This window comes from Homo sapiens, chromosome 11 (assembly GCF_000001405.40).
Source record: "Homo sapiens chromosome 11, GRCh38.p14 Primary Assembly".
Lineage (NCBI taxonomy): Eukaryota > Metazoa > Chordata > Mammalia > Primates > Hominidae > Homo > Homo sapiens.
Window position 1 is genome coordinate 71,249,129 of NC_000011.10, and position 22,728 is coordinate 71,271,856.

General features: G+C 50.9%; 1 protein-coding gene across 19 annotated transcripts in view, besides 1 other annotated feature; it reads right to left on the reverse strand.

Annotated features, from left to right (window-relative positions):
• Positions 1–4,106, reverse strand: part of SHANK2 (SH3 and multiple ankyrin repeat domains 2) — a 785,381-nt gene extending 781,275 nt beyond the window's left edge. For 13 of the 19 annotated variants that reach the window (NM_001441037.1, NM_001441034.1, NM_001441038.1 and 10 more), the window contains exon 1: positions 3,297–3,449. The gene's annotated coding sequence lies outside the window, so the exon portion shown is untranslated. Of the gene's footprint in view, positions 1–2,285; positions 2,745–3,172; positions 3,450–3,723; positions 3,808–3,906 lie in introns of those variants that run through there. The other 6 variants (NM_001441028.1, NM_001441033.1, NM_001441031.1 and 3 more) reach the window with 4 other exon arrangements.
• Positions 18,967–19,466: an enhancer, noted in NCBI's record as "H3K4me1 hESC enhancer chr11:70979141-70979640 (GRCh37/hg19 assembly coordinates)". NCBI's record gives its function as "activates a minimal SCP1, AML or CMV promoter by ChIP-STARR-seq in primed H9 embryonic stem cells {active_cell/tissue: H9 hESC(primed)}" and the evidence as "EXISTENCE:reporter gene assay evidence [ECO:0000049][PMID:30033119]".

The following is a 22,728-nucleotide window of genomic DNA, read 5'->3' on the forward strand; positions in this document are numbered from 1 at the left end:
CTGCAGGCTCCAAGCCCTGCACTCAATATGCTTACAGCCTCTCAACAAGTGATTCATTCTCCCGGTGCCCAGGTGAATGGCAAGGGGTGGGGGACTCCAGAGATGGAAAAGACCCGCCTTTGTCTGGAGCGATCCTCCCTTCTCCCCTCTCCTTCCCTTTCTTCCACAAATTCCCCAGTCTATAGAAACGGACAGGGTCAAGAACTTTGCTGGAGGTCATGTGGAGGCAAGAAGATTCTCAAGGGTCCCTCCCTGGGGCTCACAGTCCCAGTTACAGGAGAAGTGGAGGCTCCTGAAGAGGCTGTGCGCGTCCATTTCCACTGGTTTTTCTCAGCCACACCCTCCCTGCTGCCCCAAGGAGGGGCCCTCAGACTCCAGGTACAACAGCCCCAGGTGAAAGCTCCGGCTTGAGTTTACAAAGCAGGAGGCTGGAATTGCAGGCAGGTAAGACCTCAGGTGTCCAGGCCCAGAACTCTTTCAGAGTAGGAGGCACAACCTCAGGCCCTGCAGCAACTCCCAAGCTGAGCCCCACTTTAGAAAAGTCCTCATCGGGACTGACGGGGATCCCAGAACTCTCTCGTCTGCAACTCTGTTACGTATTTGGAAGTAAGGCAAGTATGCTAAAGCACTGCCTTCCTATAAAGAGCCATTTTTAGGAGTGTGTTTCTGTATACTGGTTAATTCCCGGCCCGTTTTTCTCTCCCATCCTTTTCCTCGTCACTAATGAAATATAAAATGCAATGCGGTCTCAGAATCCCTTTACCTTCCTCTGGGCAGCACTCACATCTGATATCACCTGGCTCCCCAAGCCCAGGCCTAGACCAAGACCCCTAGAAGCCAGCATGGCCCTGCATACAACCCTAAGCACCTGAATGAAGAAATGAATGAATGAAAATCTTGAAACTCACCCAAATAGGAATACGGTTTTCTATAGCAGACTGTACTTGGAGACAGTACACAGAAAGATCCCCCCAACAGACCGCCCCCCTCCCCGGGGGTGGGGGGGAATCTAATTTGTTAAAAGCAGCCAAGTGCTGTCAACCGAGCCCTCTGGGATCATCTTTATAGGTGAAATCACCTACTTGTAAAGAGTTACCTTTGATACTTGAATTCCAACCTCCTTCCAAAGGGACCCAAAGAAGCACCAAGCTTTCCACCCAATTCTTCCTTCCAGGAAAACAAGGAATTCCTGGGTGTAATAATGGAATCAGAGGCCTTATATAGACAGTGCTTCCCAGGAGCTGAATCATTCAGGCACTACTGGGACACCCAGATTCCTATCAGGACAAGAGTCTCCCTCAAGCCCCCTCAGAGGACAGTGACATCCGGCATAGAAACCCACAGCTCCCACCTACCAATCCCCCTCTTAGAGCAGACACGACGGCTTTCCCTCAGAATTAACACTGAACCCAGATGGGGGCCGAGCTCGCTCTCCTCACTCCACCCCCACAGGCTCAACCCTATTAGGACCCTCAACCTTGTTTCCAACCCACAAGTAGTTGGAAAACTCCAAAAGCAATCGGCCCGGGGCTGTTCTGGACCTGCTGAACCCTCTGGGGCACCAGGCTCGGTTCCTAGTGCACAGAAGGGCGTCACTAACTATGTGATGCGGACCGCAGGGCACCGGGGTTAAGGCTGAATCTGCCAGGTCCTTTTCCAGGGGCGCAGAACTTCCCTTGTGGCTGGGTCGGCAAAACCGAGGCCCACATCCCAGATAGAGATCAAATCGCCCTCCCCCACCGGGGGACTTCCGAAATTACCTCTCTGGATCTGGAAGCTTAATTAGCTGATTGGCCTCATTAACGTTCGAACTTGAGTTTCAAACGAAAAAGAGGTCACTCAACTATCCAATTTACAACCTCGAATTTCCACCCGAAAACCACTTTATTTTCGGATGGCCTCTGAGGACGCCCAGGCCCCTGCCAGCAGCTGCCAGCCCCCGAGAGCCTTACGTACTTTCGCCTGACCCCCCCACCACCCACCCCTCACCTGCCTGGCTCGAGCGCCTTCTCAGTTCCAGGCGCCCCGAGCCCCTTTAAAAGATCGGCTGCGAAAACCCACGGTCACCTGCACCACCCTTTCTCCCTCTGGGTGCTCCAGCCCCACGGAAAGGCAAGCCTCGCCCACGCGCCCACCCACCTCGAGCAGGGTGTCCGCACGCAGACCCGCCTGGAGGGCGCCGCGCTGCACCCCCACGCCAAGCCCCAGAACCCTGGCGGCGAGGTCCACCCCAGCCCCCGCATCCCCCCGAACCCGGGCGGCGAGGCCCGCTGCGGTGGTCGCACCTGCTGGCTCAGTCCGGCGGCTCCAGCCCAAGTGACGAGTGCGCTGTCGGCGTCTCTGGGAGCGGTCCCCGCGCCTGGCGCCCGGGGCCGGGGCCACCCGGTGGAGGCGCCTGGGCCGCGGGCTGGGCGGGCGGAGCTGCCCGGCCGCCGGGGAGGAGGGATGCCCGGGCGAAAGTTGCCAGGGAAACTTGATCAACTCGAGCGCGCCGGTGCCAGCTTCCTGCATAATTCACGGACGGTGGCGGCCGGGCTGCGCCCGCCGGGTCTCCCTATCCCAGCTGGTGAGCACGGCGGGCCGGGGTCGGGCACCCGGCTGTGGCTCAGCGCGACCCCCGGGACCTGGGCGCCCGACCCGCCACCCCCGGGCCCGCACCAGGCGCGCCGGCCCCGGCCTCTCCGCGACAGCTGCTGCTGCCGCCGCGCGCGCCTGGATGGGAGCTCTGCGTGCAGGGCCAGGGTGACCGCAGCGGGGTCTCGGGGGACCTGGCGGCCACGGTTCGGGTCTCCGCCCCCGCGCGCCACCTGGCGGCCCCGCGCCGGCTCCTCCGCTGGGCTCGCTGGCCCGGGTCCTAGGGCTGGCGGGCGGTGACCCGGGGCAAGGAGACCCCGGGAGAGCGGGGGAGGTCGCGCCACACGCGCTGTTCCAGAGGAAGGGGCAGGACGCGCCAGAGACTACGTGGTCCATGCGCGCAGGAGATAAAGCGGGGGCTCCTTCCTGCGCTCTGCCCCCACGCCGCTTCCAAAGCTTTCGACACCGGCCCCTGCCCGGGAAGAAAGGCATGCAGGGGGAAGGGCTCTCTACGGAAAATCGACCCCCACCTGGACACGCGGCTCACTCCCCCCAGCGCCCACCTCTCCAGCCTCTCTGGGTCCAGGACTGCGCTTACCCGGTAGTTGGTGCTCCCGGAATCGAGATGCCCCCAAAATGCCGTCAGTGAGCAGGATCGGGTGCCCAAGGGCCACCTCCCGTCCTCCCCGGCCCGCGCCCTGCGTCCCCGGCCGCCGCCTCACCTGGCTCGGCGAGTCGGGGGCGGGTCCGAGCCCCCCGGGAGCGCCAGCGTCCGCGCACACCTGGATCGGCCGCGGGAACCCGAGCGGCGCCGCGCCCAGCCCCGCCGGAGCTCAGGAGCCGCCGCCGCGGCTCAGGTGCAGGGGGTGGGGAAGGACCCGGCCCCGCCCGGCGCGGGAGCTGGCTCCGGCGAGGGTGGGGGAGGGGCCCTCTCGCCGCCGAAAGGACGCGTGCGGCCCAGGACCCGCGGGCGACCCGACCTGGACCCCCACCCCCGCCCACGCCGCGGACCTCAGTCCCCCGCCCCGACCCCGCTCCCGCCCGCGGCTGCGGCTCGGGCGTGCGCGTGGGGTCTGTTGTGGCAACCCCGGGAGACCGCGGGGCGCCCTGGCCGCCTCTGCCCCGCCCCGGGCTGCGTGGCTCACGGACCTCCCCCTCCCTGGCCAAAGCCGGCGGACGAGAAAGTCCCTGATTTTTGTAAAGTCCGGTTCGGTCTGCACGGTTATCCCGAACGCAGCTGGCTCCCGCCACAGAGTATTTATAATAATAGGATTTGGAAATAGAGGCTGCCTGCACATCAAAACGTTTGCAGAGCAAACGAAAACTTTGTACCCGGGTGATACGCCGGCGTCTGCTGCCCAGGCCACCAGTTCTGGGGCGCCTTCCGCCCAGGGGTGCACAACGGTATCTCCGCCAGCTGCCCTCCAAGCCAAGAAAAGCCAGGGGGTGGGGTGGGGGGAGCAAAAGCCAACGGCTCGGGTGAATCCCAGAGGCCAAAGGCACCCTCCGGAGACTCCAGGAATCCTGTTATTATCCAGGACTCCGGATTGCTAGGTTTGCGGAAGCCCAAAGGGGCGGGTCCTGAGCTTGGAGCTGTGGCCGCCGTGTGAGCCATCGGCTGATAGATTTTCTCAAGGCCTTAATCATTCACTGGGAGTCTCCCCCAGTACGAGCTGCGTGTTTCTGAGTAAGCTCTTGAGGTCTCTGTGTTCTGAGTTTTCCAGTATTCTGGAAGGTGTGGGTGGGGATCAGAGTCCAAGCTGTGGAGTAGAACTGTCTCCAGAACCCTGGAGCCCGGCATTATGCAAACCCCTAACTGTGCCCCCTACATAGAGTGAGTGTGTGTGTGTGTGTGTGTGTAAGTCAGTCTATCTTACAGGACATGCCTGAGAGGTTTGCATGGGCTGGTGACTTCAACATACCAAAGGCAAAGTTAAATATTTGCTCTAGATACTTTTTTTTTTCAGCTTGCATAATTGTCCCACATTTCAAAGAAGTCTTTAAAAGCACTTAGGTTAAAAAAAAAAAAGTTGTGTTTGGGGCCTGAATATTTCAGGACACACATGGAATAAATATTGTAACTCCTTGAGGGCAGCTGCCTTATGTAAATGTCTTTCTCGTCGCTGCTTCCTTAAGCATACACTTGATAAAATATTTGTTGAATGAATAAAGGAGTCAATCAATCAAAAAATAATAATCCCCAAAACAGGAAGAAGGACGCCCTGACAGGATCCTGCAGGCATCCTTTGTTTGGCATGGAAGCTGGGGTGCCTGGGAGAGGTGTGAGCAGGACAATCGGATGTTCTTTGGGTTGGCCGGTGGCAGATGCAAGACCTGGGTTGCAGGGAGTGGGGGTGGGGGCTCTACCTTTCCATAACAGTCCATCAGTACCCTCCCCACCAAAGAAGGCAAGTCATCTGAATAAAGTGGTGTATTTACCCTGCAAACCCAGCTCAAAGACCTATCCTCAGGATATTTCCCTCCTCTCACCAGATTCCCACCCCTGGAACACCCCTTCCTAGGTTTCTAGAACCACTGCTGCAGATAGACCAGGCAGCTGGTCACAGTTCAATTGTGAACATTTTTCGGCTATCTCCATGCAAGGTTTAAGACCGATGCCATTATGCTATCTCCAAGAAATACTTCCCTAGGGACGCAGGCCTCTGCCAGCCTTCCACCCAAGTGGACACCCCTTGGGCCATCCCCCTCCAGTCTTTCTGATCTGTTAGCCAACAAGAGCGCTGTGTGAGAGCCCCGACATTCGGCATTTTAAGGACAGCATCCTGCTTACGCCCCAGTTTCTTTGTGTCTGTTTAGAGATATCCAGTTCAGCCTTGTGCTCCGATGAAGCAACATCCTTCAAGTCTGTAAAAATCTCTTATGATCCCAAAACAAAGAAAATCAAGGTTACAGGTGATGGATACACTAATTTCCCTAATTTGATCATTACACATTGCATACGTGTATCAACATCTCACACTGGACCCATAAATACGTACAATTATGTGTCAACTAAAAGTATTGACAGCCAAAAAAAAAGGCTCTTATGAAAAGGTTCAGGGTCAGATAATGCTGCCACAGTGCCTTTATTCACATCTTAACGCTCTGAGCGGGCATCTCAGGTTGAGGGGAACACCTACCCCCCGCCGCTCATTTGAAGTAGGACCTCTTTTGGCATTCTAATTTCTGGGGGGCCCATAGCCACACACACCACCAAGTGCCTTGTTTTAGGTTCAGTTTAGGAAAAGAAGACATGACCCTCCTGGCTTCCTGGTTTCAGAACCCTCCGGTTTTGTTTCTGGAAGCTGCCTTCCAGGATTCACCAGGTTTTGCAGAAAGGAGTAAGCTTTTCCATCTGGTCATCTTGTCTTTTTTTCTTGTCCAACCTGAACCATGAAACCATCAGCCACATCTGTGGAGTACACGCTGTGTGGTCCTGAGCACGCTAGGACTTTCTGGGAAGAGTAACTGTTTTATAGAGAACTGGAAACTGGGACACCATACCATCAGGGATGTGAGATATAGCCACCTTTTTGGTCCTGGGGAAAACATTATAAATATTTTGTGGCTTAGATTAACCCAGATGCTCACTGCCTTCAGCAGCAGTCCCTTTCTCCCAGAGAAGCTCCTGGGTTTGGGGCTTAATGTATTAATAGTTGGAGGCCAGCACATCTTCAGAGAATGATTCTTAGACAGCCCGAGTGGGAGTGGCCTAACCCAAGGCAACCCTGTTATTTAACAGGTGGGAAGCTGAGGTCCAAGGAGGGGAGGAGACTCACTCAAGGGCGTGAGGTCAGAACCACACAGGCAGGTGTGCACAGGTGAAGCCAGGTAAAGGCAAGCACACACAGGTGAAGCCAGTTAAAGGCAGGTATGCCCAAGTAAAGGTAGGTGCTCTGGCCAGCAAGTCTGCCACATCCCCTCATCCCTGCCAGATTCTCCCGTGCTTTTGCCATTTTTTTCCTACTTGTTTTCCACTACAGCAAGAGGTCCACTTCCGTCCTGTTCCCGCCCATGTCAAATACTGGAAAATTCACTCATTTCTCCACAATTTTGTGACAACTTCTAATTCAATCACATAAACCTGATGCTGTAAGGATTCCCAGATTTTACATGTCCTCTCACTCCTGTGCAGAAGTGCCTCTCACGTCTCGCCTCTAGCTTACTGTGGATTTTTATTCCTCTCCATTAATTTTCCATGAGCTTATGTGGATGGATTTGCTGAGAAAAGCCTCCTGGGACTTTGAACGTAAGCATCTTGGCTGCCACCTGGGAGATTGGAGGGAGAGTTTGTTTCTCCTGGAATCTGAGCTGATGAGAGGGGATGGTCTGAAGCTTTTCCTGCTGCACTGGAGCGGGAGGATGTGGGGAGCAGCAGGCAGGAGGGAAAGCTGCGGGACAGGGTCTGCCAGGCTTCCCAGCCAGGCCATGAGCTCTTCCCTTGAGGCCCACGTCCGGAACAAGGGTGTCATCCACCTTCTCCCAGGCCTCCCTTGGGGGTGCAGGGCATCCTGTAGGATGGAGGAGTTCATTCCCCGAGGGGCCACTTCCAGTCCTTGTGGAAGCAGAGCTGGGAGGCTGGGAGAGGTTGCTGCTCTGCCTCCCTCCAGCAGGTGAACAGTCCTGCTGGGGCACATTCTCTGGCTTCTAGGAAGGGCCTTTGGAGCCTCCGTTGCTTACAGCAGGGTCCGGGACAAAATACCTTTATTTGGAGATGGCCTCCTTCTGCATCTCCCTTCCGCTGCTCCCTCACTCCTGCTCCCTGGAGTCAACTCTCAAATGGAGGAGCCTGCATCCAAGTCCTTGTTTCAGGGAAAGCATTGAGGGGAAACCCAAAATAATACAGTGCCCCCCCAACCCTTATTACAGGGGATACTTCGAAGACCCCCCAGTGGATGCCCGAAACTGCAGATAGTACTGACCCCGGTATATTACTATTTTTCTATCTCACGATCCGGCCGGGCAGGTAGTGTAGGCTGCATGGAGACACTGGACAAAGGGATGGTTCACATCCAGGGAGGGATGGGGCCGGATGCCCTGAGATTTCATCACACTGCTCAGAACAGCACACAGCTTAAAACTTATTAATTGTTTATTGATGAGATTTTCCATTTAATATTTCCATGCCTTGGTTGACCTGGGGTAACTGAGACCACAGAGAGTAAAACTATGGATAGGGGGCACTACTATATTAAAAACTGTCTTGTGGGCCAGGCACGGTGGCTCATGCCTATAATCCTAGCACTTTGGGAGGCCGAGGCGAGCGGATCACCTGTGGTCAGGAGTTTGAGACCAGCCTGGCCAACATGGCAAAACCCCATCTCTACTAAAAATACAAAAAATTAGCCAGGCATGGTGGCGGGTGCCTGTAATCCCAGCTACTCTGGAGGCTGAGGCACGAGAATCCCTTGAACCTGGGGGGCAGAGGTTGCAGTGAGCTGAGATCGCGTCACTGCACTCCAGCCTGAGTGACACAGGAAGACTCTGTCTCAAAACAAACAGATAAACAAAACAAAACAAAACAAAACAAACAGGAAAAAAACCTGTCTTGTGTCATGGGTCAGGACGCCTGAAGTCACCAGCAGACCATGTGAGTTGAGGCTCCTGTGAAGGAACCTCAAGGCGGGAGAGGGTTCAGCTCATCCAAATCAATATCAGCAACTTGATGCTATTATTGGGAAATGAAACATATTGCCCAGGCACGGTGGCTCATGCCTGTAATCCCAGCACTTTGGGAGGCCAAGGCGGGTGGATCACTTGAGGTCAGGAGTTACAGACCAGCCTGGCCAACACAGTGAAATGCCGTCTGTACTAAAAATACAAAAATCACCCGGGCATGGTGGTGCATGCCTGTAATCCCAGCTGCTCGGGAGGCTGAAGCATGAGAATCGCTTGAACCTGGGGAGGTGGAGGTTGCAGTGAGTTGAGATCATGCCACTGCACTCCAGCCTGGGCAACAGAGGGTAGATTGTCTCAAAAAGAAAGGAAGAAAGAGAGAGAGAGAGAAGGAGAGAAGGGAAGGGAAAGGACAGGAAGGGGAGGGAAGAGGAGGGGAGGGGAGGGGAGGGCAGGGCAATCAGAAGATCCCATTATAACCAACTCAAAGACCCTTGGGGTTTTTGGCCAAGCAACGAAATAAGCAAAACTGTTTTTTTGTTTGTTTGTTTTTTGTTTTTGAGATGGAGTCTTGCTCTGTCGCCCATGCTGGAGTGCAGTGGCACAATCTTGGCTCACTGCAAACTCCGCCTCCTGGGTTCACACCATTCTCCTGCCTCAACCTCCGGAGTAGCTGGGACTACAGGTGCCCGCCACCACGCCCGGCTAATTTTTTTGTATTTTTAGTAGAGATGGGGTTTCACCACGTTAGCCTGGATGGTCTCGATCTCCTGAGCTCGTGATCCGCCCGCCTCAGCCTCCCAAAGTGCTGGGATTACAGGTGTGAGCCACCGCACCCGGCCATAAGCAAAACTTTTAAAATGATCAACAGGCAGAATACATCAAGGCTTTACAAAAACAGCACGCTGTGACTAAGCAAGGTTTGTCCAAGTGATGCTGGAATATTTCAATATTAGCAAACCTATTAGGAAATATGTTTGATCAAATAAAATTTCTTGGTTAAAAAAAAGAAACTGCTTGAGAATATTTTAGTATTATTCAATTTTGTATATCAAACCAGCACTGTGTCCAATATGAAAGGCTGAATTTCCCTCATTCAATTCAGGAACCAGAACTGTGACACTGCTAACATTACCAGAACTTAACATTTCTCTAAAATGCTAGCCAATGCAATCGAATAAGAAAATTAAACAAGAAAAATAAGCATTGGAAAAGAGGAGGCAAATTTACCATTTCAGGAGGTGCTATGATTTTCTTGATTAAAAACCTAAGGAAATAAACTGAAACTGAAAGTTCATGGAGGAGTTTAGTAAGACTGTTCGAAAGCACTAGCTTTTCTTCACACAAACAACACATCGGAAATACAAAGAAAAATAAAACCATAACTCCTGGTATCAACAAGACAAAAGGAAAAATATGCCAAGACAAATATAATAACAATATTCCTAGGCCTATAAGAAAAAACAAACTAAAAACCTTCTTGAGGAAAAGAAAAAAAAAGTAGAATGAACAAAAAACAAGCATAAGATTGTGATTAAGAAGAGGGACTGTTAAGACAAACTGCCTGGTTTCAAATCCCAGTTCTACCACCTATGAATTGGTTGGATGTAGGCAAGTTCCCTATCCTCTCTTTTTCTCCACTTTCTTTTCTTTTTTTTTTTTTTTTTTTTTTTTTTAGACGGAGTCTCACTCTGTTGCCCAGGCTGGAGTGCAGTGGCACCATCTTGGCTCACTGCAAACTCTGCTTCCTGGGTTCATGTGATTCTTCTGCCTCAGCCTCCCAAGTAGCTGGGATTACAGGCGTGCACCACCACACCCAGCTAATTTTGTATTTTTAGTAGAGATGGGGTTTCTCCATGTTGGCCAGGCTGGTCCCAAACTCCTGACCTCATGATCTGCCCACCTTGGCTTCTCAAAGTGCTGGGATTATAGGCATGAGCCACCACGCCTGGCCTTTTTCTCCATTTTCATACCTCAAACGGAAGTGGAAGCAGCACCATCTTGCTGAGAAAGTTAAATGGACAAACTTATGTAATCTACTCAGAACCACACACCTTGCAAGAAGTAATTTTTTTTTTTTTTGAGACAGAGCCTAGCTCTATCACCCAGGCTAGAGTGCAGTGGCGTGATATCGGCTCACTGCAACCTCCGCCTCCCAGGTTCAACTGATTCTCCTGCCTCAGTCTTCCAAGTAGCTGGAATTACAGGCACCCACCACCACATCCAGCTAATTTTTGTGTTTTTAGGAGAGATGGGGTTTCACCATGTTGGCCAGTCTGGCCTCCAACTCCTGACCTCAAGTGATCCACCCACCTCAGCCTCTCAAAGTGCTGGGATTACAGGCATGAGCCACTGCACCTGGCCAAGAAGTAATTCTTACTGACGTAAGTGCTGCTGACCTTGCTGTTCTTGAATAGGGAGACGCTACTGCAAGGCGGCAACTCTTCCTCAATAGATCATAAAATCCAACATAGTCCTAAACACAATCATGGCAGGATTTTTTTTTAACTTGACATGCAGTTTATCTGACTGGTAAAATATTTATGTCTAGAAAATATAAAAGAATAAATTAAAAAGATAAAGACAAGTCCATGTATAAAGTGGGTGAAAGACTTGAACAAGGACCTCAAAAAAGAACCTATCAAGATGGCCTGTGAGCGTATGAAAAGGTCCCCAATTTTATTTGTCATCAGAGAAACATGCAAAATAAACTGACAGCGAAATACCTCTGACACCTGATTGGCTAAAATGACAATGGGAGACCATGCCATGGGGCCATGGACACGCGCATGTACTGCTGTTGGTAGTGTGAATTGGCACAGCTGCCTGAAAATATGTTGGCAGTGTCTACTATGACCCAGCAGGTCTGCTTGGAGGGAGACACTCCAGAGGAATGAGTGTATATGTGCATCAAAAGATGCACAGCAGGCCGGGCACAGTGGCTCGCGCCTGTAATCCCAGGACTTTGGGAGGCTGAGACAAGTAGGTCACCTGAGGTTGGGAGTTCGAGACCAGCCTGACCAACATGGAGAAACCCTGTCTCTACTAAAAATACAAAATTAGCCAGGCATGTTGGCACATGCCTGTAATCCCAACTACTCAAGAGGCTGAGACAGGAGAATGGCTTGAACCCGGGAGGCGGAGGGTGCGGTGAGCCGAGATTGCGCCGTTGCACTCCAGCCTAGGCAACAAGAGCGAAACTCCACCTCAAAAAAAAAAAAAAAAAAAAAAGGATGCATAGCAGCCAGGCATGGTGGTCACACCTGTAATCCCAAAAATTTTCAAGACTAAGATGGGAGGATCATTTGAGGTCAGGAATTTGAGACCAGTCTAGGCAACACAGCAAGACCCTGCCTCTTAAAAAAATACAAAAATCAGCCGTGCATGGTGGCAAGTGCTTGTAGTCCCTGCTACTCAGAGGGGCCTGAGGCAGGAGGATCACTTCAACCTGGGTGGTTAGAGGCTGCGGTGAGCCACGATCGCGCCACTGCCCTCCAGCCTGGGAGACAGCAAAACCCTGTCTCAAAAATAAATAAATAAATAAAGAGACGTAGCATTCATTCTGTGGCAAAACCAGAAACCATCTGTTATGGACTGATTATTGGTGTCTCCCCAAAATTCGTATGTTGAAATCCTACCCCCTAATTTGGTGGCATTAGGAGGTGGGGTCTTTGTTAGGTCATTAGGATTCATTGAGGTCTTAAGAGTGGAGCACCTGAGAATGGGATTCATGCCCTTAAAAGAGTCCCGAGAGAGCTCCTTTCTCTCTGTCATCTGTGGGGAACACAGAGAGAAGACGCCATCTCTGAACCAGGAAGTGGGCCCTCACCAGATGCAGAATCCGCCAGCACCTTGAGCTTGGACTTCTCAGCCTCTAGAACTGTAAGAAGAAAACTTTTGTTGTTTAAGCCACCCAGTCTATGGTATTTAGTCCATCGCACCCTGGACGGACTAAAACATCACCCAAAACTCCATCAACAGTGAAATGAAAGAATAAATGAATGAAATACTGATCAGCAATAAAGATGAAGGAACTGTTGCTACATGCAAAAGTGGGAATTAATCTCACTGTTACCATTTTAAGTGAAAGAAGCTTTACACTTTGTATAGGAAGGTACTGTAAAATCACATTTGTAGAAGGTTGAGTAATAGGCAAACGTAATCTGTAGTGTTGGCAGCTGGGACTTGGGGAGAACATGAGGAAAAGCTCTAGATGCTGAGTGCTCTGTTTCCTGATCTGGGTCTGCTCACATGGATGTGTTCAGTTTGTGAAAATCCATCAAGTCATGCACTTATGATTTATGCATTTTTTATAGATATGCTAGACTTTGATAAAAGTTGACTTTAGAATAGCAAGGAAAACAGGCCCGGCACAATGGCTCACGCCTGTAATCCCAGCACTTTGGGAGGCCGAAGTGGGTGGATCACGAGGTCAGGAGATCGAGACCATCCTGGCTAACACAGTGAAACCTGGTCTGTACTAAAAATACAAAAAATTAGCTGGGCGTAGTGGCGGGCACCTGTAATCCCAGCTACTCGGGAGGCTGAGGCAGGAGAATGGTGTGAACCCGGGAGGCGGAGCTTGCAGTGAGCCGAGATTGCACCACTGCACTCCAGCCTGGGCGACAGAGCCAGACTCTGTCTCAATAAAAAAAAAAAAAAAAAAAAAAAAAGAGAATAGCAAGGAAAACCTTCAAAGAGAGCAGCAAAGGAGACCGGCCCTACTCAAGCTTAAATATACCAAGAAGCTGTGATAATTACCAAGTGTGTAACAGGCACAGAAATAGACTGATAGAGCAAGTGACCCATCGGAAATAAAACCAGGTTACTCATTGCCTGCATTCTGTGCTCCAGCCATGATGATCTTCTTTCAAGTTTTCACAATGCCAGGCTCTCTCTTTCCTCTGTTTTCCCATTCCCACCATGCCTCTTTGACTGTCTATCAACTGTCACTCAACTTTTACAGCAAAGCTGAAATACGATCTGTGTGCCAGTGCCATGTGCTTCAGAGCATCTTGTCAACCAGTACATCTTAACTCTCTCAGGCCAGGTGTGGTGGCTTACACCTGTAATCCCAGCACTTTAGGAGGCCAAGGCTGAAGGATTGCTCCAGCCTAGGAGTTCAAGACCAGGCTGGGCAATGTGGAGAGACCCCCTCTCTACAAAAATAATAATAATAATAATAATACAAACACAATTAGCCAGACATGGTGGCACACACCTATAGACCCAGCTAGTGGGAGGCTGAGATGACAGAATCAGCTAAGCCCAGAAGTGGAGGCTGCAGTGAGCCGTGGTTGTGCCACTGAAGTCCAGCTTGGGCAACGGGAGTGAGACCCTGTCTCAAAACAATGAAACAACAAAACCTGTTAACTCGCTCCTGCTCACCTGGATCTGCAGCACTTACACGGAGCCTGGCTCTTGGTACGTGCTCAGTATGCTTTTAGCAAAGGAAGGCGGGGGGGAAGGAGGGAGGGAAACTGGGAGGAAATTTAGCGATCATAAATATGCTTTTAAAAATGTATAGAAAGAAGGACTATTCAATATATGGTGTCGTAGTACAAGCCTAGCAATTTTTGAAAAATATAGCTAAATCTCTAGCCAACTTCTCGTAGCAAAATAAATTTCAGATGAATTGAAGATTTAACCAGCCAGATATGGTGGCTTGTTCCTATAGTCTCAGCTAATTGGGAGGCTGAGACAGGAGGATGGCTTGGGACCAGGAATTTGAGACCAGTCTGGTTAACATAGTAAGACCCTGTCTCTAAAACATAAAATTAAAAAAAAAAAATTAACCAGGCATGGTGGCACGTGCCTATGAGTCCCAGCTACTTGGCAGGTTGAGGCGGGAGGATCACTTGAGCCCAGGGGTTCGAGGCTGCAGTGAGCTGTGATTGTGACACTGCACTCCAGCCTGGGCCACAGAGTGAGACTTCATTTCTGAAAGAAAAAAAAAGAAGGTTTGACAGTTCCTTAGAAAATTAAGCATATCCTTAATATATACAACCTATGTATTTACCCAAAAGAAATGAAAAGTCTGTGTTCACACTAAAACTTGTCTGAATGTTTATAGCAGATTTATTCATAATTGCCAAACCAAAACATAGAAACAACCCAGATGAATATCCTTCAGTGAACACTGCTCAGCAATAAAAAGGAACATCTCTGGACACATGCAACAAGGTGGCTGAATTTCAAATACGTTGTGCCATGAGAAATAAGGCAGCATCAGGAAGAAGGCTGCTTACTGAGTGATCTCACTGATAAAATATTCTGGAAAACGCAAAGCCCTCGGCATGGAGAAGAGATCAGTGGTTGCTAGGGTTTGGGTTGGAGAGAAGCTGCAGAGAAGCAGCAGGAGGGAATTTTGGGGGCGATGGAACTGCTTTTTATCTGGATAGTGTGGTGATGACATGGCTGTGCATTAATATATTTATTTATTGATAATTCAAGATGATGAAATAAAATCAAAACTGTTTATTTCCTTTTCTGCAAACAGAGGAGCAAAGACAGATGCACCCCAGTGTCTTCCAGGACGTGAGAACAGGGGAGCCCGCAGGACTGGGTGACGTGTAAGAAGTAGCAAGCGGCCAGGCGCAGTGGCTTACATCTGTAATCCCAGCACTTTGGAAGGCTGAGGCAGGCAGATCTCTTGAAGCCAGGAGTTCGAGACCAGCCTGGCCAACATAATGAAACCCCGTCTCTACTAAAAATACAGAAATTACCTGGGCATGGTGGCAGGTGCCTGTAATCCCAGCTACTTGGGAGGCTGTGTCAGGAGAATAGTTTGAACGTGGGAGGTGGAGGTCGCAGTGAGCTGAGATTGTGCCATTGCACTCCAGCCTGGGTGACAAGAGTGAAACTCCATCTCACAAAAAACAAAAAACAAACAAAAAAAAAAACGTTGCAAGCAAGGTGACTGCAGCATGGCCACAGGTGTCAAAGGGAAAAGTGTAGGAATCCAGGAAACTCAATTCTAAGTTATTCTAAGGACATAATCACATCGTCGCCAAGGTATTTGTGCCTGAAGGAGATCACCTGTACGTAGGTTGATAACCTCCCCAGTCTGGAAAGTATTAATAGCTGTGATGGTTGATTTTGGCTGTCCACTTGACTGGGTGAAGGGATGACCATATGGCCGGTAAAGCATTCTCTCTGGGTGTGGCCTGTGAGAGTGTTTCCAGAAGATATTGGCATTTGAATCCGTGGACTAAGAAGATCCACCCTCACTCAACGTGAGCAGGTGCCATCCAATCAGCTGGGGGCCCGGATAGAACAGAAAGGCAAAGGAAGGGCACATTTGCCGTCTCTTCTGGATCTGGGACACCTGTCTTCTCCTGGCCTTGGGTATCAGAGCTCCAGGTTCTCAGGCCTTTGGCCTCAAACTGAGAGCAACACTATTGCCCCCCTGGTTCTGAGGCCTTTGGCTTGGGGTGAGCCATGCTATCGACTTCCCTGGTTCTCCCGCTTGCACAGGAGGTCCTGAGACTTCTCAGCCTCCATCATAGTCTAATCCAATTCCCATAACGAAGCCCCTCTCTGGCTCTCATGCTTGCTCACTCTCTCGTTCTCTCTCTTTCTCCCTCTGTGTGTGTGTGTGTGTGTGTGAGTGTGTGTAAATGTACACTGTTGGTGCTGTCTCTCTGGAGAACCCTGCTCACTAATACAGCACCCAAAAGCCTGTCAACAGTGCTATGAATGAACAAATCATGCCATCCTCATGGCAACAGAGTGAATGCACTATTACTACACAACATGTGGATGGATCTCAAAAATGGATTAATCTCACAAATATAAGTGCTCAGCACAAATAAAATGCAACACGGGAAAACAATGGAATACTATGCAGCTGACGCAAATGGGGACGTAGATCTCAATTTACAGACACAAAAAAGAGGACCCCGATCCCTCACTGAGTGGCAGAAGTGCAGTATAGGACATCGCACACAGTCCTGTTCATGAAAAAGCACGCACAGCATCGCACACAGTCCTGTTCATGAAAAAACACGCACAGCATCGCACACAGTCCTGTTCATGAAAAAGTACGCACAGCATCGCACACAGTCCTGTTTATGAAAAAGCATACACGGTTGTACTTTCCATGCATGTGCATGCAGGTGGGGAGCTGTGCTGCCAGACATTGTCCACCCAAATATTACCATGATGTGAACAGTCTTAAAGCTGCCAGAGATGAGCACAATGCATTGGGGTTTAGAAATATTTTTGCTGTTGCAGGAATGCTATTGCCAAACACAGTTGGATGTGCCTGGCACAGTAAACATTTGTTTGATCAACCAAGGGCCATTTCCAAAACGGTGGGGTTTCCGTCAGTGGCCTCCGAGTGGCTGACTCCCCACCGCCCGGCATGCGCACACCTTCCCCTTACACACCTTCAGAAGCATCCTGGGTCTCCACGTGTCTCACGCCTACTTTGAGCACCCTTCTGTGGGCCCCCCGAAACACTGGGGTCAGCCCAGCTCTGTCCCTGACCTTCTCCCTTCTCGCAGTTCCCAGTTTTCATAGGTGGCCTTGTCCACAGCCACGTCTGCTCTGCAGCGCAGCCTCTGCTAAGTGCCCCACTTGGACGTCCACGTCTGGTCACCTCACTAGGACTCCAGTCTCAGCACATCTGAAAGAGAGCTCAACATTCCACAGTGCTTGTTTCCCTCCACGCTCCCTGCTGGGGGCAGGGGTGGCAGTACTGTCACCTTAGTGCCCTAAGCGAGGACCCCGGAGGTATCCTGGACCCCTGTTGCTCCGCCACCAGCTCTCACATCTCCGAGCCCTTCAGAATCAGCCTCCTCCACCTGCCTTGGGTCCCGCTTGTCTCTCCACCTATCCTGCTGGGGCCTGCCGTCATCCATCTGTTGCTGATTTTGAATCTCCTTCAGCCCCTACGCCTGCCTCATTCACCAGCCCTGGAGCTCTTGGCCTGGCCTCAAACTGCACCTGGCTTTCACTCCTGTCTGGCTTCCATCCCTTCCGCGTCAGATCCAAACCCCTCCTCTGGGTAAACGGCCCCTTGGAGGTGCCGACCTTCTCACCCTGCTCCTTCCTCATCCCCTCTTAAGACTGGCTCGCACATCCACTCCCTTCAGAGAACTTCCCAGTTCTCCTGGCTCCACTGTTGCCCCGCCCAGGTAGGGCCAGTTCCCCGAGATCCTGCCCTCAGCTGCGCTTGCTCCTCCTCGCGGGGAGGGGCTGTATTTTACCTGCCTTGTTGTTTCCTGAGCCCAGCAACCCTCCACATTTGCAGAGTGGAGCCGGTAAAGGTTGGGACTCAGGCCCGGTTTCCAAACCAGTTCCATGTAAGAAATGTGGCAGAGCTGCTCCTGGGGCGAGTTACATGCCGGCCTCTGGGCTCAGAATCCAGCACAGAAAGGAGGTGCGGGCTGACTGCTTTCTAGACAAAAACCAGGCCCTGCCAGATGCTGCACCGCGTGCATCTGGCCAAATGCACTCTGCTACGATGCGCTCTGTGAAAATCCTCTTAAGGGGCACAGTGATTGAATTTATCCCCAAGGTCCAAAGTTTATTTTCGTTAGAAGAATCAACTTTGCTCAGGCGCGGTGGCTCACGCCTGTAATCCCAGCATTTTGGGAGGCGGAGGCAGGCGGATCACTTGAGGTCAAGAGTCAGAGGCCAGCCTGGCCAACATGGTGAAACCTCATCTCTACTAAAAATACAAAAATTAGCCGGGCATGGTGGTGTGCGCCTATAATCCCAGCTACTCAGGAGGCTGATGCACGAGAATGGCTTGAACCCATCTCTGATCTCTACTAAAAATACAAAAATTAGCCGGGCATGGTGGTGTGCGCCTATAATCCCAGCTACTCAGGAGGCTGATGCACGAGAATGGCTTGAACCCAGGAGGCAGATGGGTGACAGAAGAAGACTGTCTCAAAAAGAAAAAGAAAAAAAAAATCAACTTCTATGCGTTCACTTCTCTGAAGGCAATGTGGGACGTTTTTTAAGTAAATGATCGATAAAGCAATGAACAGGGTCTACTGGTGCTGTCTGGGAAGGATATGGAGCCACTTGGTCAGTTTCCCACTTTTAAAAAGGCCTCCCTTTGCCCTTCCCCAGGTCACAGTTAAGGAAATTAATTCTAAATGGAATAGGCAATATAAAAGTCAAAAGAAAATGGCAAATGGTAAATTACTTGACTTTTTTTTGACAAGAGACCCAAGGCCTTCTCCCCTGGACAGCCTCCCCTAAGCATCTCATTCCTTATAGGAATCTACCCTGAGGCCAAATGCAAAGTGTACCAAGGGGATCATTTTGTTGGAGACGATTACATTCATTTCTTTGGAGTGCAGGATGCAGAGTACATAACTACAGGGTTTAGATAGGGTTTGCTCTATTATAACAAAACAGGATGCTGCCTCTACTCAGTCCATCCCTCCCTCTCTGGCTGGGTTTGGGGGATCTGAGGCAGGAGGCCATTCCCAGGCTATGCAGGCTGGAGCCAGCAGGGATCCCCGGAACCCCAGGTCCCACTCCCTCATCCTCTAAGCTTCGCCACAGCCTCCACTCTTCCCCCCAGAAACTGTCTCTCTTGGGGTCCCATAACCACCCACCCCACCACCCAGGGCAGGCCCCTGGCCTAGAGGCCGGCTCTAATAGATAAACTAGAGCTAGTGCAGCTCGCAGGATCGAGCACCAGAGCTAGTGCAGCTCGCAGGATTGGGCAGTCGGGCAGAGTGGGAACCCCCAGCTTGGCAGCTGTGCAGTCCTCACTCCCAGCATCTCCCAGCCTTGAGTCGTTTGCAAATCACCATCAGTTCTTCCCCATCTGCCTGGTCCCTGCAGTCACCTGGTGGTCCCCCTACTGCCCTGTTGTTCCCTGGGTGGTCTGGGCTCCTCTCAGAATGAGCTCATGCACCTCGGGGAGCTGTGCCCTGGGAAGGCCCCCCTGCACAGCTCCCTCAGCCCCTGGCTCTTCCTCTGTCAACTTCCTCTACTAAAGTGAGGTGGGAGCCAGCCGTCGGCTGTTTCTATGGCAGTGGAAGTTCAGAGGCTGGCGGGGGCTGCATGAGAGGGCACAGCCGCCTCACCAGGCGTGTCCTTCATCGTCCCACCACAGCGTCCCAAGCTCCACCAAACGTCCCTGGAGAGAGTGCAGACGTTGGAAACAATCCAGGGCTGCAACTAGGATGCTGGAGAGTCAGGCTTTCCCATGTTCATTCTCACTGCACTATTATTGTAATTCCATTACTGTTGATTGATTATTAACTAATACTTACATTCTTCATTGTTATTATGAAAATAACAGCATAATAGGTTAACCGATGTTTGTCAAGACAGACTCTAAAAATAAAAAGAGCAACCTCCCCCCTGTCAGTCCATGCCCCTCTCTCCATGCCCAGTTCTATCCCAGCTGCCTCTGCAAGGTGGGAGTGGGTCCAAGCCCAGGCTTTGGGAGGAGGAGGAGAAGGGAGGAGGAGGAGGGAGGAGAAGGAGGGAGGAGGAGGGAGGAGGAGGAGTCTGAGCCAGGCTTCCTAGATTCCAGAATCTCTCTGATTTGTGTTCCGCACAACATCAGTGGATGCGAATTGTGCCCCTGTGACTTTTTGGACTTTAAAACCACCCCACCCTCACACTCTCCGCAGAACAAACAGAACATCGTGCTGTCCTTGTGTTTGTGGCAAGACAGGCCAGCGGAAGAATTCATTTCACACTTTGGAACACTGAGAATGGGAACAGCCTCATGGAGAGGCTGGCTGGGGGTCGGGGGTGGGTAGAGGAGAGCTGGGAGCTGGCCCTGACTGCGTGGGGACATGGCACATGGAGCCCTGGAGCCCTGGTCCCCTCTCTGCCAAGTGTACCATCTCTATGATGCTAAGGGGCTTACCTGGACATGCTGAGTCCCAGATTCCTTGTTAAATAGGGACAGCAGGCTGGGCACGGTGGCTCACGCCTGTAATTCCAGCACTTTGGGAGGCCAAGGGGGGCAGATCAGTTGAGGTCAAAAGTTCGAGACCGGCCTGGCTAACATGGGGAAACCCTGTCTCTACTAAAAATACAAAAATTAGCCAGGCGTGGCGGTGCATGCCTGTAATCCCAGCTACTTGGGAGGCTGAGGCAGGAGAATCACTTGAGCCCGGGAGGTAGAGGCTGCAGTGAGCCAAGATTGTGCCACTGCAATCCAGCCTGGGCAACAAAGTGAGACTCTGTCCCAAAAAAAACAAAAACTAAAACAAAAAAAATCCTAGGGACAACAATAGCGTGTCTTCATTGGGTCTTATGAAATGAGGGTAAATGAAATCTCACATAGAGTGAGGCTTGGCACAGAGCCTGCCACATAATAGATCCTCAGCAAATGTCAGCTATTGCTGTTATCACAACTGGTTGAGAGAATTGCAGGTATTGCATCTGGAAATAGAAGGCTGGAGGTGGCATTAGGGTTGCCATCAAGATCACTGAGAACAATGGCCTGTGAAGGTTGGATTAGACTTTGCACAGCTCCTGTTGGGACAAAAGTAACATCAATGGAACTTTAAAGTGATGATTCGGGTTCAATACAAAGAACTGGCCGTGCCACAAGTTCAGTGGCCCGAGCTGCATTACATTCGGGGTGCACTTTCAGATTCAAGAATTTTGATGGCTTGTAAGGAGGGGTTAAGGCGTTTAAGACTCATTTTAAAAGAATTTCAGAAATCTGAGAACAAGAGTAAAAACTCCTGCATTTCCTACAATGCCTCTACAGCATGAAACTGCTGTCTGCACTGCCGTATATCCTCTCCCAGTTGCTGTGGCCACTCTCGGGTGCCTGCTGGATGGCCCCTCTGTCCACACCCTTTGTACACACAGCAAGCTGCACCTGCTCTCCTGCACATGGCAAGGCCTGTTTCAACCAAAATTCTTTCTTGAAGACAGAACCTTTACTATGCCCACCGTTGTAGCAACAGTTCATCTTACTACGTGCTGGACAAAAGATCAAAAGTTGGAGGCAGTTCCTCTATGGAGGTGTTTCCTACCCTGTGGGCCACCTGGGCACACCCCTTAGGTGCCCCCAGTCCGGCTCCCGCAGGAACACCCTGGGTTGTCTCACCGGGAGAACCATGTGGCTGGTGGGAAGGGTTCAGGCCAAGGTGAAACATGACCGGTGACCGGCGTGGAGGCTGCAGTGGGGATCCCTGTGTTGGCTGCAGGGCTGAATGAAAGAACAAGAGAGGTTTCGGCTGAACTCTTGGAAAATACAGAGAGCCTCCTAACCCTCCTTAGTTAGGAGTGATTAACACTCTTATTAAAGAAACCTTTGTGTTCTAGGCCCTGGCATTAACAGTTAATTGGCCCAATAATAATTAGGAATGTACATTACAGAGAATTATAACCAGGGCCTTTCACAGAGTGGTTTGCCCCGGCTCCTCTCCATGTGTTTCCCGAGAGCCTTTTAATGCAAGGGATGTACGGACTGGCAGACCCAGAGATGCCCGTCCTTTGCTGTTGCAAAGAACTCAAAGAGAACAAGAATGGGGCCTCCATAAAGGTGGGATAAAGATGCAGAGACAATTTGGAATAAGCAACTGATAATTTTAATAACAGCTAAATATAGATTACTTGCATATCTGAACTTTTTTATTGTTGGTTTTATTTTATTTTATTTTTGAGATGGAGTTTCGCTCTTGTTTCCCAGGCTGGAGTGCAATGGTGCGATCTCAGCTCACTGCAACCTCCGCCTCCCGGGTTCAAGTGATTCTCCTGCCTCAGCCTCCTGAGTAACTGGGATTATAGGCATGCGCCACCATGCCTGGCTAATTTTGTATTTTTAGTAGAGACGGGATTTCACCATGTTGGTCAGGCTGGTCTCCAACTCCTGACCTCAGGTGATCCACCTGCCTCGGCCTCCCAAAGTGCTGAGATTACAGGCATGAGCCACCATGCCTGGCCTGGTTTTATTTTTAATTCTATAATGAGAGCTTAGATTGCTTCATAGGCTTCTGTGGGTATGAGTTTCATTGTCACATTTTTTTTTTTTTTAAGAGGGAGTTTCACTCTGTTGCCCAGGCTGGAGTGCAGCGGTGTGATCTGCAACTTCTGCCTCCCGGGTTCAAGCAAGTCTCCTGCCTCAGCCTCCCGAGTAGCTGGGGTTACAGGCACACGCCACCAAACCTGACTAATTTTTGTACTTTCAGTAGAGATAGGATTTCGCTATGTTGGCCAGGCTGGTCATGAACTCCTGACCTCAAGCAATCCGCCCACCTTGGCCTCCCGAAGTGCTGAGATTACAGGCGTGAGCCACCGTTCCCAGCCACGTGTGTTCTTAAAAATAGCAAATTAACCTGAAGGCGGGGGTAGAAAATGAAAGCAACTAGGTAGATCTGGCCTTTTGTGGGGCTTCAGAATCTTCTTACCAAGTGTCAGGGAGAATAGGTACTCCCTCTCTTGAGTTGGGTCCTGTTGTGTGACACAGAAGAGGCCATGTGTGCATCTCACCGTGGCAACATGAGGTCAGGACTGAAGAAATTTCCACTCGGAACTCTGACTTGCTTCTGAAGGCTTTGTTCCAGCACCTGGCAGCCTTATTCTCTGTGT